This window comes from Homo sapiens, chromosome 1 (genome assembly GCF_000001405.40).
Source record: "Homo sapiens chromosome 1, GRCh38.p14 Primary Assembly".
Taxonomy (NCBI): Eukaryota; Metazoa; Chordata; class Mammalia; order Primates; family Hominidae; genus Homo; species Homo sapiens.
Genome location: NC_000001.11, coordinates 224,338,936 through 224,356,675, shown reverse-complemented (window position 1 = coordinate 224,356,675; position 17,740 = coordinate 224,338,936). Strand labels below are relative to the sequence as shown.

General features: G+C 44.7%; 3 annotated features.

The window, feature by feature from the left end:
• Positions 5-144: an enhancer, noted in NCBI's record as "active region_2609". NCBI's record gives its function as "activates an Ori minimal core promoter by ATAC-STARR-seq in GM12878 lymphoblastoid cells {active_cell/tissue: GM12878}" and the evidence as "EXISTENCE:reporter gene assay evidence [ECO:0000049][PMID:35858748]".
• Positions 15,066-15,785: an enhancer, noted in NCBI's record as "H3K27ac-H3K4me1 hESC enhancer chr1:224528593-224529312 (GRCh37/hg19 assembly coordinates)". NCBI's record gives its function as "activates a minimal SCP1, AML or CMV promoter by ChIP-STARR-seq in naive H9 embryonic stem cells {active_cell/tissue: H9 hESC(naive)}" and the evidence as "EXISTENCE:reporter gene assay evidence [ECO:0000049][PMID:30033119]".
• Positions 16,508-17,228: an enhancer, noted in NCBI's record as "NANOG-H3K27ac hESC enhancer chr1:224527150-224527870 (GRCh37/hg19 assembly coordinates)". NCBI's record gives its function as "activates a minimal SCP1, AML or CMV promoter by ChIP-STARR-seq in primed H9 embryonic stem cells {active_cell/tissue: H9 hESC(primed)}" and the evidence as "EXISTENCE:reporter gene assay evidence [ECO:0000049][PMID:30033119]".

The following is a 17,740-nucleotide window of genomic DNA, read 5'->3' as shown; positions in this document are numbered from 1 at the left end:
TCCAGAAATGGAATTAATCAACAAGTATTTACTCAACGCTTTTCTTTTAAAGAGCTGGGGTCTTGCTCTGTCGTCCAGGCTGGAGTGCAGTGGCGTGATAGAGCTCACTATGACCTCGAATTCCTGGGCTCAAGCAATCCTTCCACCTCAGCCTCCCGACATGCCCAGCTAATTTTATTTTATTATTTCTCATTTTATTTTATTTTTTGAGACAGGGTCTCACTCTGTCGCCCAGGCTGGAGTGCAGTGGCATGGTCACAGCTCACTGCAGCCTCTACCTCCTGGCCTCAGGTGATCCTCCCACCTCCGCCTCCTGAGTACCTGGGATTACAGGAATGTACCACCACGCCTGGCTAATTTTTTGTATTTTTAATAGAGATGGGGTTTTTGCCATGTTGCCCAGGCTGGTCTCGAATTCCTCGGCTCAAGCGATCTGCCTGCCTCAGTCTCCCACAGTGCTGGAATTACAGGCCTGAGCCACTGCACCAGTCTCTACTGAACGCTTTTAATCCGGATATCCAGTAGGATGTATTTCCCATGTGTGAAATTTTCTTTAGAGTTGGCTCTAGAACCATTGCATTCCCTGACTTAGGATTTGTAAGGGGTTTTCATCTCAAAGCACAAATCTAACTTAATGCTCCTGGCTTGACTTTTGCGATTTGCCCTTCCCTTCCTGATTTCAATTTCTCCAGAGATTTCACAGTCCTTTGTTTATCCTCTCCTACAGCAATGTTTCTCTCCTCTCTAGATTTTAAGATCTTTAAGAAGTGAATACGATGTCTTACTCATCCATTCATTCATTTAACAAATACAGTTGTATTTGCAGGGGCTACTTTCCAAGACCCCCAAGTGGATGCCTGACACGATGGATAGTACCAAACCTTATGTGTACTATGTTTTTTCCTATATATACATACCTATGATAAAGCTTAATTTATAGATCAGGCACAGTAGGAGATTAACAAGTAATAATAAGATAGAACAATTATACTGTAATAAAAGTTATGTAAATGTGGTCTTTCTGTCTCAAAATATCTTATTGTACTGACCCTTCTTTTTGAGATGATGTATGATGATAAAATGCCTATGTGATAAGATGAAGAGACAGATGCAGCCTCTCCAGTGATTTTTATATTTTTCAGTCCAAATCTATTCTTACATTCATGTAACTATCCATTACTTGCAGTAAGTGGCTTGGTATCACTCGTTTTAGGGAATCCCTCACTGAAGTCTTTGTATAGGCTCAATACTTTCTGGCTCAACACGTTGCCATCAATTGGCACATGTTTTCTGTTCATGTCTTCCACCCACAAATGTAATGCCTCTTCCATCTTTTTTGTGGTTGTTGTTTTAGTTTTTCTGAGATGAAGTTCACTCTGTCACCCAGGCTGGAGTGCAGTGGCGCCATTTCAGCTCTCTGCAACCTCCACCTCCCAAGTTCAAGCGATTCTCCTGCCTCAGCCTCCGGAGTAGCTGAGATTACAGGTGCATGCCACCACACCCAGATAATTTTTTGTATTTTTAGTAGAGTTGGGGTTTCGCCATGTTGGCCAGGCTGGTCTCAAACTCCTGGCCTCAAGTGATCCACCTACCTTGACCTCCCAAAGTGCTGGGATTACAGGCATGAGCCACTGTGCTGTGCCGCCTTTTCCATCTTAACTAAGCACTTATCAGGCACTGTGGCCATAACTTTTGTAGTCTGAGTTGCAACAGCAAAACTAGCACAAATTCCTTTTTCCTTTTTCAGAAATTCACAGATAAAAGACTGGTTCTTACCATAGATCTTAGCAGTCTCATAGGGTTTTTTTTTCTTTCCTTAAGTCAAGAACTTTGACCATTTCACTTAAAGGGAGCACTTCATGGCTTCTCTTTGGCATATCTGAATTGCCAGTATTCACTGCTCTTGAACTTTGGGCCATTGTTAAGTACAATAATGGGTACTTGAACATAAGCACTGCAATACTGCTGCAGTCAATCTGATAACTGATAAGATGGCTACTACGTGACTAACAGGTAGGTGGCATAGACAGCATGGATATGCTGGACAAGGGGATAGATAATTCATGTCCCAGGCAGGATGAAGTGAGCAGCAGGAGATTTCATTACACTCCTAAGAGTGGCACACAATTTAAAATTCATGGATTGTATATTTCTGAAATTTTCCATTTAACATTTTAGGACTGTGATTGACCTCAGGTAAATGAAACCAGTGAAAGCAAAACTGTGGATGAGACTGCTGTATTTACTGACAACACACCTGCTATAGGCCAAGAACTGCTCTAGACTCCAGAGATATAAAAATAAACAAGGCAAACAAGTTGCTGCTCTAGTAGGGTGAGTGGGAGGAACAGGCAATAAAGTATAACAAAGTATGGGAAAAAGATAACTTCAAGCAGTGATAAGCTCTGTGAGCGGTTGTGTCAAAGTTATTTATTCATTCAACCAATATTTTCTGAGCAGCCAGAATATATGAGCTACTGTTCCAAACCTTGGGAAAAGTCCCCACAAGCCTGTGGTTTACATTACAGTGAGAAAGACAGACGACAAAATAAATATACTAATGACAGGCAGTCATAAGTACTTGGAAGGGGATGGGGAAAGACGGAGTGATCAGAGAAAGCCAAGCTGAGGAAATGACACTTAAGTAGAAATTTGAACAATAGCTATGTGAAGGTCTGCGGGCAGAATGTTTCAGAAAGTAGGAACAATAATTTCAGAGGCCCAGTTGTATATAGAGGCTTGATGTGTTAAAGGAATAGAAAAAAAGACTACTGTGGTCTTGTGGCTAAAGCACAGGGGAAAAGGGTGAGAGAGTGCTGAGAGGAAGAGAAGGAGGCAGGGTAAGGTTATATGGGCCCTGTAGACCCTTGGCAAGGATTTTTATCCTAATATGATGAGAAACCACTGCAGAGTTCTAAGCAAAAAAGTAGCTTAATCTGATTTACATTTTTAAAATCTCATTCTGGCTATTTAGCGCACTGAATGTGTGAAAGGGAAACAAGTTTGTCAGCAGGGAGATCACATGGAGAGTAGAACAGGAGAATTACTATGAAGGCAAAACCAACTGAGCCGGGCGCGGTGATTCACGCCTGTAATCCTAGCACTTTGGGAGGCCGAGGCGGGCGGATCACCTGAGGTCGGGAGTTCGAGACCAGCCTGACCAACACGGAGAAACCCCGTCTCTACTAAAAATACAAAATTAGCCAGGGGTGGTGGTGCATGCCTGTAATCCCAGCTACTTGGGAGGCTGAGGCAGGAGAATCACTTGAACCCAGGAGGTGGAGGTTGCAGTGAGCTGAGATTGCTCCATTGCACTCCAGCCTGGGCAACAAAATGAAACTATGTCTCAAAAAAATAAGCAAACAACAACAACAAAAAACACAAAAACCCAACTGGATTTGCCTGATGCAGTACAGGTTCATAGATTCATAAAGGGTTCACAGGTTAAAGCTAGACATACAATTAACAGATTATCTAATTAATTAAACCAGCTATTACCAAACTCCCATTGTACCTTGTACATATCTCTATCAGAATATTCATTACATACTCAGTTATCTTAAGGTGAAAAAAAATACTCATCAACTATCTTCCTTATGTGCTTAGCCAGTCACACTGAGGGGTGACAGCGTGCTGGCAATCGTCACAGCCCTCACTCGCTCTCGCTCGCTCTCGGCGCCTCCTCTGCCTGGGCTCCCACTTTGGCGCCACTTGAGGAGTCCTTCAGCCCGCCGCTGCACTGTGGGAGCCCCCTTCTGGGCTGGCCAAGGCCGGAGCCGGCTCCCTCAGCTTGCGGGGAGGTGTGGAGGCAGAGGCGCGGGCGGGAACCGGGGCTGCGTGCTGTGCTTGTGGGCCAGCGCGAGTTCTGGGTGGGCGTAGGCTCGTCGGGCCCTGCACTGGGAGCTGCCAGCCGGCCCCGCGGGCCCCGCCGGCCCTGGGCAGTGAGAGGCTTAGCACCTGGGCCAGCAGCTGCTGTGCTCAATTTCTCACCGGGCCTTAGTTGCCTTCCCGCCGGGCAGGGCTCGGGACCTGCGGCCCGCCATGCCTGAGCCTCCCCGACCTCCGTGGGCTCCTGTACGGCCCGAGCCTCCCCGACGAGCGCCGCTCCCTGCTCCACGGCGCCCAGTCCCATCCACCACCCAAGGGCTGAGGAATGCCGGCGCACGGCACGGGACTGGCAGGCAGCTCCACCTGCAGCCCCCGTGGTGAATCCACTGGGTGAAGCCAGCTGGGCTCCTGAGTCTGGTGGGGACGTGGAGAACCTTTATGTCTAGCTAAGGGATTGTAAATACACCAATTGGCACTCTGTATCTAGCTCAAGGTTTGTAAACACACCAATCAGCACCCTGTGTCTAGCTCAGGGTTTGTGAATGCACCAATCGACAATCTGTATGTAGCTACTCTGGTCGGGACTTGGAGAACCTTTATGTCTAGCTCAGGGATTGTAAATACACCAATCGGCACTCTGTATCTAGCTCAAGGTTTGTAAACACACCAATCAGCACCCTGTGTCTAGCTCAGAGTTTGTGAATGCACCAGTCCACCCTCTGTATCTAGCTACTCTGGTGCGGATGTGGAGAACGTTTGTGTCTAGCTCAGGGATTGTAAAGGCACCAATCAGCACCCTGTCAAAACAGACCACTGGGCTCTACCAATCAGCAGGATGTGGGTGGGGCCAGATAAGAGAATAAAAGCAGGCTGCCCCAGCGAGCAGTGGCAACCCACTCGGGTCCACTTCCACAGTGTGGAAGGTTTGTTCTTTTGCTCTTTGCAATAAATCCTGCTGTTTGTCACTCTTTGGGTCCACGCTGCCTTTATGAGCTGTGACAGCGCGAAGGTCTGTAGCTTCACTCCTGAGCCAGTGAGACCACGAACCCACCGGAAGGAGGAAACTCCGAACACATCTGAACATCAGAAGGAACAAATTCCAAATGTGCCACCTTAAGAGCTGTAACACCACGAGGGTCCGTGGCTTCATTCTTAAAGTCAGTGAGACCAAAAACCCACCAATTCTGGACAGAACACGTTTGATCAAGCTTGTTCAGCCCATTGCCCATACGCCACATGTGGTCCAGAACGGCATTGAATGCAATCTACCATAAATTTATAAACTTTATTAAAACGTTATGAAATTGTTTTTGCCATTTTTTTTATTTCATCTCATCAGCTATCATTAGTGTTAGTGTGTTTTATATGTGGCCCAGGACAATTCTTCCAGTGTGGCCCAAAGAAGCCAAAAGATTAGACACCCCTGCTTTAGATTATGATAAAAGTAACAGATTTTATTAATTTTTATATCCCAATACTTTCTATTCTATAAATAGCTGGTGGTTAATAAATGGTTCCTGAATGAATGATCCACACTATCATGACAGATTTTATTTATATTAGTCCAGATTTTATCAAAATCATAAACCTCATCTCACATGTATTCCCCGAGATGGAGTAGGAAATACAAGCTATTTCGCATTTTTTTTTTTTTTTTTTTTGAGGCAAGAGTCCCACTCTGTCGCCCAGGCTAGAGTGCAGTAATGCCATCTCAGCTCGCTGCAACCTCCGCCTCCCCAGTTCAAGTGGCTGGGACTACAGGCACATGCCACCATGCAACAATAGTAGCATTTTTTGCAGAAATCTTAACCATATTCCAAAATTTATATGAAAAGACAAAGCTAATTTTTGTGTTTTCAGTTGAGACGGGGTTTCGCCATGTTGGCCAGGCTGGTCTCAAACTCCTGGCCTCAAGTGATCTGCCCACCTTGGCCTGCCAAAGTGCTGGGATTACAAGCGTGAGCCACTGTGCTGGACCATATTTCACATTCTTTATCTGCTATTTTATCCTGGGAAAATTTTAAAAGCTGGTACCATAATCAGTGGTAATGATTGAATTACCATAAAATTAAGATAGCCGCTGTCTCTTATCCTACTTAAAAAATGGGCTCTCCCTCTCCCTCTCCCTCTCCCTCTCCCTCTCCCTCTCCCTATCCCTATCCCTCTCCCGTCTCCCTCTCCCGTCTCCCACTTTCCACGGTCTCCCTCTGATGTCCAGCCGAGGCTGGACTGTACTGCCGCCATCTCAGCTCACTGCAACCTCCCTGCCTGATTCTCCTGCCTCAGCCTGCCGAGTGCCTGGGATTGCAGGCGTGCGCCGCCACACCTGACTGGTTTTTGTATTTTTTGGTGGAGACGGGGTTTCGCAGTGTTGGCCGGACTGGTCTCCAGCTCCTGACCGCGAGTGATCTGCCCGCCTGTGCCTCCCACGGTGCCGGGATTGCAGACAGAGTCTCGCTCACTCAGTGCTCAATCTTGCCCAGGCTGGAGTGCAGTGGCGTGATTTTGGCTCGCTACAACCTCCACCTCCCAGCCGCCTGCCTTGGCCTCCCAAAGTGCCGAGATTGCAGCCTCTGCCCGGCAGCCACCCCGTCTGGGAAGTGAGGAGCGTCTCTGCCTGGCCGCCCATCGTCTGGGATGTGAGGAGCCCCTCTGCCCAGCCGCCCAGTCTGGGAAGTGAGGAGTGCCTCTTCCCAGCTGCCATCCCATCTAGGAAGTGAGGAGCGTCTCTGCCCGCCGCCCATCCTCTGAGATGTGGGAAGCTCCTCTGCCCCGATGCCCCGTCTGGGATGTGAGGAGCGCCTCTGCCTGGCCGCGACCCCATCTGGGATCTGAGGAGTGTCTCTGCCCGACTGCCACCCCGTCTGGGAGGTGAGGAGCGTCTCTGCCTGGCCGCCCCGTCTGAGAAGTGAGGAGCCCCTCCGCCCAGCAGCCGCCCCGTCTGGGAAGTGAGGAGCATCTCCGCCCGGCAGCCGCCCCGTCCAGGAGGGAGGTGGGGGGCAGCCCCCGCCCGGCCAGCCGCCCCGTTCGGGAGGTGGGGGGCGCCTCTGCCCGGCCACCCCGTCTGGGAGGTGAGGAGCCCCTCTGCCCGGCCGCCACCCCGTCTGGGAGGTGTACCCAACAGCTCATTGAGAACGGGCCATGATGACGATGGCGGTTTTGTCGAATAGAAAAGGGGGAAATGGGAAAAGAAAGAGAGATCAGATTGTTACTGTGTCTGTGTAGAAAGAAGTAGACATAGGAGACTCCATTTTGTTCTGTACTAAGAAAAATTATTCTGCCTTGGGATGCTGTTAATCTATAACCTTACCCCCAACCCCGTGCTCTCTGAAACATGTGCTGTGTCCACTCAGGGTTAAATGGATTAAGGGCGGTGCAAGATGTGCTTTGTTAAACAGATGCTTGAAAGCAGCATGCTCCTTAAGAGTCATCACCACTCCCTAATCTCAAGTACCCAGGGACACAAACACTGCGGAAGGCCGCAGGGTCCTCTGCCTAGGAAAACCAGAGACCCTTGTTCACATGTTTATCTGCTGACCTTCCCTCCACTATTGTCCTATGACCCTGCCAAATCCCCCTCTCCGAGAAACACCCAAGAATGATCAATAAATACTAAAAAAAAAAAAAAAAAAAAAAAAAAGATTGAGCTGAAACAACCAGAAAAAAACTATGAAAACATGAGCCTCAATCTCTACCTCACATCATACACAAAAATTAATTAGCAATATGCGATAAACCTAAATGTGTAAGTTAAAACTGTAACTCTTCCAGAAGAAAATTTAGAACATCTTTACAACCTTAGGCAAAAGTTTTAAGTAGATGTGTGAATGGTCAATAAGTACATGTAGCAGTGCTCAGCAGAGAAATGCTTTAAAACTGCAATTAGATACTACTTCACACTTAGGAGAATAGCTTTAAAAAAAAAAAAAACCCTGACAACACCAAATGTTCACAGAGAAATGAAGCAACATGTATTAAACAATACTGGTGAAAGTAAAAAAAAAAAAAAAAAAAAAAAAAAAGGTTGCAATGTCTCAACTACAAGGAATACAAAATTTGGGAGAAAGAAATTATCAGGATAAAAAACAATAAATGGTGTTTGTGTGTTAATATAATTTTTGTTTTAAAATACATGTTCTATTAGCGAGGCATGGTGTAACATGTCTATAGTCCAAGTGACTCAAGAGGCTGAGATGGGAGGATCACTTGAGACCAGGGGGTCGAGGCTGCAGTTAGCCATGATCATGCCACTGCACTTCATCCTGGGGAACAGAGCGAGACCTTGCCTCAAAAAAATATAATATAATAAAATACATAAGTAAAATAAAATATGTGTTATATTTTAAAAGTATAAACTGAACCGTTAGGGTTTCTGGTTTAGCACGTACAGACCTAAAAGTAGCAACTCTGTTCTTACAAGTAAAAACCCAAACAAACTGAAAAATCAAAAACTCTTCTTAGATCCATCAAAGAAGTGAAGTCATAGGGCAAACCCTCAATCTTCCTGTTTTCATTGTTGCACCTTGTTTTTCTTCTGTTATGTCTAGTCAGCACAATAAGGCAAGAAAAAAATATTTATAGGCTGGAAATGAAGTAATCAATTTTGTCTACATAGACTGTATTATTAGCAAAGAGAGGACACAAGGTTAACACACAAAAATTAATTGCATTTCCATATACTAGCAATTGCCAGTTAAAAATCAAAACAGTAGGCTAGGCATGGTGGTTCATGCCTGTAATCTCAGCACTTTGGGAGGCCAAGGCAGGCAGATCACCTGAGGTCAGGAGTTCGAGACCAGCCTGGCCAACATGGTGAAAACCCATCTCTACTAAAAATATAAAAATTAGCCAGACATGGTGGGGGGCACCTGTCATCCCAGCTACTGGGGAGGTTGAGGCAGGAGAATAGCTTGAATCCGGGAGGTGGAGGTTGCAGTGAGACCAGATCACACCACTGCACTCCAGCCTGGGTGACAGAGACCCTGTCTCAAAAAAAAAAAAAAAATCCAAACAGTACTACTTATAATATCATAAAAAATCATGAAATACTTAGGAATAAGTCTATTAAGATATCTCCGGGATCTGTATGTGATAAATACAAGACACTGATGAAATAAAAGAAAACCTAAATAGGTCAGATGCAGTGGCTCATGCCTGTAATCCCAGCACTTTGGGAAGCCAAGGTGGGTAGATCACTTGAGCCCAGAGGTTGGAGACCAGCCTAGGCAATATGGTGAAACCCCATCTCTACAAAAAATGCAAAAATTAGCCAGCCGTGTGGTGTGTCTGTAGTCTCAGCTATTTGGGAGGCTGAGTTGGGTGGATGACTTGAGCCTGGCAGGTTGAGCTACAGTGAGCAATGATCACACCAGTGCACTCCAGCCTGGGTGAGACAGCAAGACCCAGAAGAAAAAAAAAAGAAAGAAAAAGAAAGAAAGAAAGACAGACAGACAGAAAGAAAGAAAGAAAGAGAGAAAAGAGAAAACCTAAATAAAATCTAAAAACCTAAAAAAAAAAAATCATGTTCATGGATTAGAAGACTCAATATTGTTAAAATGTCGGTTCTTCCAAAACAGATCTATAGGTTCAATGCAATCCAATTAAAACAATATTAGCATTTTTGTAGAAATCTTAACCGTATTCTAAAATTTATATGGAAAGACAAAGGAATTTCAACAGCCAAGACAATTTTGAAAAAGAGCAAAGTTGAAGGGCTCACACTACCTGATTTCAAGATGTACTAAGGGCTACCACAATCAAAACACTGTGATATTCATGAAAGGAGAGATAGATGCATAGATATTTTGGAACAAAATTAAGAATATAGAAATAGACCCACAAATATATGGTCAATTAATTTTTTTGATAAACATACAAAGACGATTTAACGGAGAAGCTATATTCTTTTCCAGAACAAACTGTTCTGGAACCACTAAACAGCCATATACAACAACAACAAAAACTTTGGCTCATACCTCTCACCTTATTCACAAATTTAAAAATAGAATCATAGTATAAAGGAAAAAAATGTGATCTTGGTACAATCTTGGCAACCCTATATGCAGTAAAGCAGGAAAGCAATATCTTCAATCTTCTTACACAGAAATTCAGTCAATATTGATTGAATATCTGCATCAATAAACCTAATTGACACAGAATTTATCTTCCTTCCATCCAGTGCCAAACACAAATGCCACATAAAAAGCAACATTAAAAAATAAACACTAGGTCAGGCATGGTGGCTCACACGTTACCCCAGTACTTTGGGAGGCCAGGGCAGCAGGATCTTGAACTCACTTGAAGCCAAGAGTTCAAGACTAGCCTGGGTAAAACCCTCTCTCTACAAAAATAAAATTTTAAAAAAACAGCTGAGTGTGGTAGTACATGCGTGTATTCCCAGTAACTTGGGAGGCTGAGTCAGGAGGATCACTTGAGCCCAGGAGTTTGAGGTTACAGTGAGCTGTGGTCCCACCAATCTACACCAGCCTGAGTGACAAGAGCAAGATCCCAACTCAAAAACAAAAATAAAAATAATTTTAAAAATAAACAGTAAACTTATTCATTAAAAGGTGGGATTACCCTAGTTTCATAAACCCAAATTAGAGGAATCAGTGAAGCAGAGCTGAAAAACCCTTGAGGGAATTGTAACTACTCATGGATCGAACAATTGCCAACTGGGACTTTATTGTCCAAGTAGGGAACAGAGTCAAAAACTGAAACCTCATAAGCAAGGAAAATATGGCATTGATTACAGGAATCCTATGGATCAGTCCCATGTATAAGCAGGGTTTATGATTAATAAAGAGATACAAAAAGCAAATGAACATTTCAAAAAAGCTTCACTTTGGGTAAAAAAACAAAATTCCCCAAAAGAGGCCAGGCACAGTGGCTCACGCCTGTAATCCCAGCACTTTGGGAGGCTGAAGCGGGCAGATCACCTGAGGTCAAGAGTTTGAGATCAGCCTGGCCACAGGCTGAAACCCCATCTCTACTAAAAATACTAAAAAAGAAAAATTAGACAGGTGTGGTGTTGGGCGCCTGTAATCCCATCTACTCGAGAGGCTGAGGCAGGAGAATCGCTTGACCCTGGGAGGGGGAGGTTGCAGTGAGCTAATGACACTGCACTCCAGCCTGCGTGACAAGATCAAGATGCCATCTCAAAAAAAAAAAAAAAAAAAAAAGAAGAGAAAGGCTGGGCACGGTGGCTCACATCTGTAATCCCAGCACTTTGGGAAGCCGAGGGGGGCAGATCACCTGAGGTTGGGAGTTCAAGACCAGCCTGACCAACATGGAGAAGCCCCCATCTCTACTAAAAATACAAAATTAGCCAGGGGTGGTGGCGCATGCCTGTAATCCCAGCTACTCAAGAGGCTAAGGCAGGAGAATCACTTGAACCAGGGAGGCAGAGGTTGTGGTGAGCCAAGATTACACCATTGCACTCCAGGCTGGGCAAAAAGAGTGAAACTCCATCTCAAAAAAAAAAGAAATTTCCCAAAAGAAATCAGAGGTCCAGGTCAGGACCATGGTTATAAATATGACTTGAATTCACATTTACACTGCACACATGGGATTGCTGTCTAAAGTATAAAATTAACAACAACAAAAATATTCTTGAAAAAGAGAAACGTCACTGAATGCAAATTACCAATTGTGCATAAAGAAAAACGATTCAGATATATAAGGTAATATGAATAAATATGCACTTAAAAATACTAGAGAGTTGTGCACAGTGGTGTGTACCTGTAGTCCCAGCTACCTGGGAAGCTGAGACAGGAGAATCACGTAAGCCCAGGAGTTCGAGGCTGTAGTACACTATAATTGTGTTTGTGAGTAGCCACTATACTCTAACCTGGGCAACATAGTGAGACCTCATCTCTAAAAAAAAAGAAAATGTAGGAAAAAAAACCTGGAAATTACCTGACAATTATGAACAGGCAAATAGATAAACAAATTGTGGCATAATCATAAAATAGAATAATAGTAATGAAAACAATGAACTACTGATATACACAAAACATGGATATCTCAAAGGTAATATATTGATCAGCAGAAGTCAAAAACAGACTGAGGGCCTGGGATCATGCCTGTAATTCCAGGACTTTGGGAGTCCAAGGCAGGAGGATCACTTGAGGCCAGCAGTTCAAGAGCAGCCTGGCCAACGTGGTGAAATCCCGTCTCTACTAAAAACACAAAAATTAGCCAGACATGGTGGCAGGCACCTGTAATCCCAGCTACTTGGGAGGCTAATGCAGAAGAATCTCTTGAACCTGGGAGGTGGAGGTTGCAGAGAGCTGAGATTGTGTCACTGCACTCCAGCCTGGGCAACAGAGGGAGACTCCATCCCCCTACCCACCCTCAAAAAAGAAACCGACCAAGGCAGTGGCTCAAGCCCATAATCCCAGCACTTTGGGAGGCTGAAGTGGGCAGATCACATGAGCCAGGAGTTCAAAACCAGCCTGGGCAAGGCAAAATCCCATCTCTATAAAAAATCCAGAAAAACAAAAAAGAGAAAAATTGTCCAGGCATGGTAGTGTGCACCTGTAGTCCCAGCTACTTGGAAGGCTGAGGTGGGAGAACGCTGAGCCTGTCAGGTCGAGGCTGCAGTGAGCTGTGATCACACCCCTGCACTACAGCCTGGGTGACAGAGAAAGACCCCATCTCAAAAACAAAACACAACCCTAAAATGTCCAGTTTTCAACAACAGAAAAATAGGTATGCAAAGAAACAAGAACGTTTCTACACAACCAAGGACCTCAACAAATCCCAAGTAGGATAAGCTCAAAGAGAGTCCTTCTGAGACAAATCATAATCAAACGTTTTTTTGAGACAAGGTCTCATTCTGTCACCCAGCCTGGAGTGTGGTTGCATGAACATAGCTCATTGTAACCTCAAAATCCTAGGCTCAAGCAATCCTCCTGCCTTGGCCTCCCAAAGGGCTGGGATTACAAGCATAAGCCATCACGCAGGCCATATTCAAACCATTGAAAGCCGAAGAAGGAATTCAGAAGGTAACAAGAGAGAAGCAATTAATTATATACCAGTGATGCTCAATAAGATTAACAGCTGATTTCTCATCAGAAACCATGGAGGCTAGGTGGCACTGGAATAACATAAAGTGTAGAAAGAAGGGAAAAAACTCTCCAAACAAAGAATTTTATGTCCAGCAAAATGATTCTTAAAAAGTGAAAGGAGGGCCGGTCATGGTGGGTCACGCCTGTAATCCCAGCACTTTGGGAGGCCAAGGCAGGCAGATCACTTGAGGTCAGGAGTTTGAGACCAGACTGGCCAACATGGTGAAACCCCATCTCTACTAAAAATGCAAAAAATTAGTTGGGCGTGGTGGTGGGCACTTGTAATCCCAGCTACTGAGGAGGCTGAGGCAGGAGAATTGCTTGAACCCAGGAAGCGGAGCTTGCAGTGAGCCAAGATCATGCCATTGCACTCCAGTCTGCACAACAAGAGCGAAACCCTGTCTCAAAAAAAAGAAAAGAAAAGAAAAGAAAAAGTGAAAGGAAAACATAAGACCTAAAACTATAAAACTCCTACATGAAAAACATAGGGGAAAATCTTTATGATATTGGATTTGGCAATAATTTCTTACATACAACACCAAAAGCATGTGCAACAAAAAGAAAAAAATAGACAAATGGGACTACATCAGACTTAAAACTTTCATGCATCAAACAACATAACCAACAATGTGAAAAGGCAAGCTATAGAATGGGAGAAAATATTTGCAAGTCATATATCTGATGAGATTAATATTCAAAATATAGAGAGAACTTCTCAGCCTGGGCAACAAAATGAGAACCCGTATCTACAGCAAAAAAAATAATTAGCTGGGCATACTGGCACACACCTGTAGCCCCAGATTCTCAGAAGGCTGAAGCAGGAAAATTGCTTGAGCCCAGGAGTTCAAGGCTGCAGTGAGCTATGATGGTGCCACTGCACTGAAGTCTAGGTGATAGAGCGGGACCCTAACTCTTAAAAAAGAAAAAGAAAAAAAAAAACTATAATAAAACAAATAACCTGGCTAGGTGCAGTGGCTCACACTTGTAACACTTTGGGAGGTGGAGGCGGGAAGATAACTTGAGGCCAGGAGTTCGAGACCAGCCTGAGTAACATAGCAAGACCTCATCTCCCAAAACATATGCACACACTCTAAACTTGATTTTAAAATGGTCAAAGCCATGAAAACATTTTTCCAAAGAAGATAAAAATGGCCCACAGATATATGAAAAGATCCTCAATATCACTAATTATCAAAGAAAAAACACAATGAGATATCGCCTTGCACCCATTTGGTTGGCCATAATTTAAAACACACACACACACACACACACACACACACACACACACAGAGAGAGAGAGATACACACAACCAAGAAATAACATGTGTTGGTGAGGATGTGGAGAAATGGAAAGACTTGCGCACTGTTGGTGGGAATGTAAAATGGTACAGGTGCTATGAAAAATAGTATGGTCGTTCTTCAAACAATTAAAAATAGAATTACCATAGGATCTAGCACCTATGGGATCTCACCTGTGAGTATATGTCCAAAAGAACTGAAAGCAGAATCTCAAAGAAATATTTGAACACACATGTTCATTGCACCACTATTCACAAGCGTAAAAAAATGGAAGCAGGCCAGGGGTGGCTCACGCCTGTAATCCCAGCACTTTGGGAAGCCAAGGCAGGCGGATCAGGAGGTCAAAAGATCGAGACCATCCTGGCCAACATGGTGAAACCCCGTCTGTACTAAAAATACAAAAAAAGTAGCTGGGTGTGGTGGTGCGCACCTGTAGTCCCAGCTACTCAGGAGGCTGAGGCAGGAGAATTCCTTGAACCTGGGAGGTGGAGGTTGCAGTGAGCCAAGATCTCACCATTGCACTCCAGCCTGGTGACAAAGCAAGACTCTGTCTCAACAAAAAAAAAAAAAAAAAAAAAAAAAGAAAGAAAGGAAAAAAAAAAGAAAAGCATCTATCTGTGGACAATGTCCATAGATAGATGAATGGGTAAAGAAAATGTGCCACACACAACTGATGAAATATTATACAGCCTTTAAAAAGAAAAAAACTCCTCTGTCATGCTATATCATAGATGAACCTTGAGGACATTATGCTAATTGAAATAAGCCAATCACAAAAGGACAAATGTTGTATGATTCCACTCATATGAATTATGTAAAGTACTCAAATTTATAGAAGCAGAAAGTACAATGGTGGTTGCCAGAGTCCAGGGCAAGCAGGAAATAGGGAGTTATTGATCTATAGGTATAGAGTTTCAGTTTTGCAAGATAAAAAAGTTGTATAGATATGTTACTTACACAACAATGTGAATACAATTAACAGTACTGAACTGTACACTTAAAATGGTTAACATAATAAATTTTATGTTATGTGTTTTTAACTATAATTTAAAATTTCTTTTTAAACAAAGGAAAATTAAAGATATTCCCAGATAAATAAAAACTGAGAGTTCTTCACTAGTAGTCCTGCTCTACACGAAAAGGTTTAGAGTCAGTACGTCAGGCTGAAATGAAAGGACACGGCCACTGCCACTGCGCGAGCTGCAGCAGGAAGGTGCAAGCAGTAGCAGCTGGAGCGGCTGCAGGAGCAGCAGTGGCGGCGGTGGGTCCCCTGTGCTCTGCATCCCAAAGGCAGCTAACTGCGCGACCCCCACCCTTGCGCAGCCGGGCAGGACCCGCTCCCAGGCCTCGTGGGGAGGGCACGGGGAGGAGGTGGAGCTGGATCCAAGGCGGTGCCGCGCTCCACAGAGACGGCAGGAGCCAGGGACAAGCGGGAACCCCCCAACAAAAGCCCGCCGCTCTGGGGGTCTCTGCGATGGGGCCAGGCGGGGCTCCCCGTCGGTGGGGGAGAAGCCGGCTGGGTGCAGAGGGTTGGGCAGAGAGGTGCCCAGCGAGGACCTGGAGCCCCCATGCCACTGCATGCCAGCCTGAGTGACACAGTGAGACGCTGTCTCAAAAAAAAAAAAAGAAAAAGAAAAAGAAAAAGGTATTACTTCACACCCACTAAAATGGCTGTAATTTGTAGGGGTGGGTTGCCCCTACACACCTGTGGGTGTTTCTCGTAAGGTGGGACGAGAGATTTGGAAAAGAAAAAGACACAGAGACAAAGTATAGAGAAAGAAATAAGGGGAACCGGGGAACCAGCGTTCAGCATATGGAGGATCCCGCCAGCCTCTGAGTTCCCTTAGTATTTATTGATCATCTGTGGGTGTTTCTCGAAGAGGGGGATGTGTCAGGGTCACAAGACAATTGTGGGGAGAGGGTCAGCAGACAAACACGTGAACAAAGGTCTTTGCATCATAGACAATGTAAAGGATTAAGTGCTGTGCTTTTAGATATGCATACACATAAACATCTCAATGCTTTACAAAGCAGTATTGCTGCCCACAGGTCCCACCTCCAGCCCTAAGGCAGTTTTTCCCTATCTCAGTAGATGGAGCATACAATCGGGTTTTATACCGAGACATTCCATTGCCCAGGGACAGGCAGGAGACAGATGCCTTCCTCTTGTCTCAACTGCAAGAGGCATTCCTTCCTCTTTTACTAATCCTCCTCAGCACAGACCCTTTACGGGTGTCGGGCTGGGGGACGGTCAGGTCTTTCCCTTCCCACGAGGCCATATTTCAGACTATCACATGGGGAGAAACCTTGGACAATACCTGGCTTTCCTAGGCAGAGGTCCCTGCGGCCTTCCGCAGTTTTTGTGTCCCTGGGTACTTGAGATTAGGGAGTGGTGATGACTCTTAAGGAGCATGCTGCCTTCAAGCATCTGTTTAACAAAGCACATCTTGCACCGCCGTTAATCCATTCAACTCTGAGTTGACACAGCACATGTTTCAGAGAGCACGGGGTTGGGGGTAAGGTTATAGATTAACAGAATCTCAAGGCAGAAGGATTTTTCTTAGTACATAACAAAATGGAGTCTCCTATGTCTACTTCTTTCTACACAGACACAGTAACAATCTGATCTCTCTTGCTTTTCCCCACAGTAATTAAAAAACAAAAGAGAAATTAACTGTTGGGGGGGATACAGAGAAATCTGAACCTTCAATACATTGCTGGTACAAATGTAAAATGTTGCAGCAGCTGGAGGGAACAGTTCAGTGATTCTTCAAAAAGTTAAATACTGAATTATATGACCCAGCAATTCTGTAACAGCGGAATCAATTCCATCTGGTTCAACCTTTGTGAAACAAAGTTCTGAGTGGTTTCTCAGTGCAGCCAACCCCCAGGTTGCAAGTTACATAACCTAAGCATACCCAGATGAGCCAAGTGTGCCCCATTGGTGACTTAGGAGCCAGGAGGAATGAAAAAGTCAGTCACAAGCAGAACCAAAGTGCTTGGATCAAGGAACAGGGACCAAATTCAGAAACAAGGAGTACCCTATTTTGTTGCAGTACAGACTTAAGAGCCAAGGACCCTCAGCATGACCCAATCAGATCATATCTCATTGCATTTTTCCATTTTTTTTTTTTTTGATGGAGTCTTACTTTGTCTCCCAGGCTGGAGTGCAGTGGCGTGATCTCAGCTCATTGCAACCTCCACTTCCCAAGTTCAAGTGATTCTCCTGCCTCAGCGCCCCAAGCAGCTGGGACCACAGGTGTGCACCACCATGCCCAGCTAATTTTTGTATTTTTAGTAGAGATGAGGTTTCTCCATGTTTGTTAGGTTGGTCTCGAACTCCTGACCTCAAGTGATCCACCTGCCTGGGCCTCCCAAAGTGTTGAGATTATAGGCATGAGCCGCCACGCCTGGTCTACCTCATTGCATTTTCCTATCTTCCTCATTGTAACTATCTGCCTATAAAACCTGTCCCCATTCTCCAGCTCAGGGAGACAGATTTGAGCATGCCAAGTCAACTTTGCAATAAAGGTTTCTATTTT